Consider the following 2,043-nt stretch of genomic DNA (forward strand, 5'->3'; position numbering starts at 1 on the left):
CTGGCCTTATGTATCAAGTTTATGTTTAGGAAGTAAAAGAGCCACTAAAACCGTTTTAGAAAGCAGTTTGAGTTGTGCAAACCCTGCAACCAGCAATTCCACTCCTAGGTATGTGTCCTGGAGTAACTGGTACATATCTGCCCCAGAATGTATGTATGTGAATGCTCACAGCATTGTTGTTCATGATGGCTGCAAATCAGAATCATCCCATAGTACAATGGATAAATACATTGCAGTGAATTTGTACAATAGAAAACTATACAGCAGGAAAAGTAATAAACCAGAGGTTTGTGCCACAACATAAATGAATCTTACAAACACAATGTTGAATTAAAAAAGGCAAGATGTGAAAGAAAACATAGAATCATTCCACCCATATAAAGTCGGAAAGGAGGCAATACTAATCTATCTTATGTAGAGATGTATATATGAGTAATAAAGCCAGGAAGAAAAGCAAAGAAATGATTAGCACAGAAGTCTGAAGAATATTTTCTTTGGAGGGAAAGCAGGTGAGAGAAAGTTGTGATTCAGATTCAGGATGAGAAGTAGGGGAGACTTCTGGGGTGCTGGCAACATCTTATTTCTCACCCTTTAAAATCTTTCCGTGTGAATATTTTATCATTTACTTCACAATTGCAAAAATTAACAAACACAAAAAGCACCACCTAAAGAAAAAATGTTTGAAGAAATCACTGTTTCAATTTAATTTCTTCATGTTAAATAAGGAACTGGAGGTCAGGAAGATTAAGTCAGTTGCCATTTCTCCTGTTGACCTGATGTGGGCTCTTGGATGCGGGGCTTGTTATGGAGCCTCTTCTTTTCTCAGAACCTGGGGACCTGGAGAGGCCAGGCCATCTGGAATTAATGTCCTTCCCCATATTTTACTCTGCTGGTTCCCCAAGCACTTTACCCAGCCAGAGCTTCTTTGCCTTTCCTTTCTCTCCCTTCAAGGTAAGGATTTTTCTACTTTGAAAGGAGTTGTTAATGGATAACCTTTCTTCTCCAGTGGGTTTTAGGGGGTCAAGGGCCTGTCATTATTCCACTGGGCTCTTCCATCCAGCATGCAAACTGACCCACTCTTCTTCCTCCTCCACAGCTCCTCTTCCTCACAGGCAGCCCTCAACCTCTCTCAACTCTGTGGATCCAAACTGGACAGACACACGTACTATACAAACATCCTTGTATACACGCATACCACCACTCAGACCCTGTCTTGATTCCATGTCTGCCTGACTTACAGTCCTATGCAGACCGTATCTAATGCATAATCTATACCCTAAAACCTACTATACTTTGCATTTCATGGATGTTTAAAACTAAAATTTTAGCCCTACATGTTAAACTCAATGCTTCTTTAGATACTTTTCGATCATCATTCATATAAACAATTGAAAGTGTCAGGGTAAGTTACAGACATGTACTTTGGCTACTGCAGGGGTGTCATTCTAAACTCCTACTGCTTGAGCTGCCCAGTATATATTGCCTTTATAATCAGGTTTTAAAAATATTTGATTATCTCCTTCCTCTAAAAAAAAATCAGTTGCTGAGGAAACATCTAGCCAGAACATTGTTTAGAGGTAAAATTGTGTGTTAAGAACTTCCACATGAGGCATTTGTAAATAATAACATAATGTAAATAATAACATGATTTTCACAGCTTATACAGGAATCTGTTTACTAGATTTCTCCAAGTCAGTGGCATTCTTGGATTTTAAGAATCTAAAAGAAATTTAAGAAAAACCGAAGACAGAACCTGGAGAAGTAAATGAAAGGGTAACAGCAAAAATTCAGAAGTGCTGGTAATTGTGTTTGTTTGTTTCTTTTAGGCAGTTACACAAGCAAGAAATTGCAGGGCGGAGCTTGACCTTCCAACAGAAATCTCTACAGAGGCCACTACAAAGATTACCAAGCCCAGTGTATGTCCTCACTGTCGGAACAATACTCATTACAGTTTGCAAATTTGGACATTAAAGAAACTGTATCATCCTTGAGTGTTCAGAGTAATGGAATTTCTGCTGCCTCTCAGCATTCATGTCATTGCCC

This window comes from Homo sapiens, chromosome 5, assembly GCF_000001405.40.
Source record: "Homo sapiens chromosome 5, GRCh38.p14 Primary Assembly".
Taxonomy (NCBI): Eukaryota; Metazoa; Chordata; class Mammalia; order Primates; family Hominidae; genus Homo; species Homo sapiens.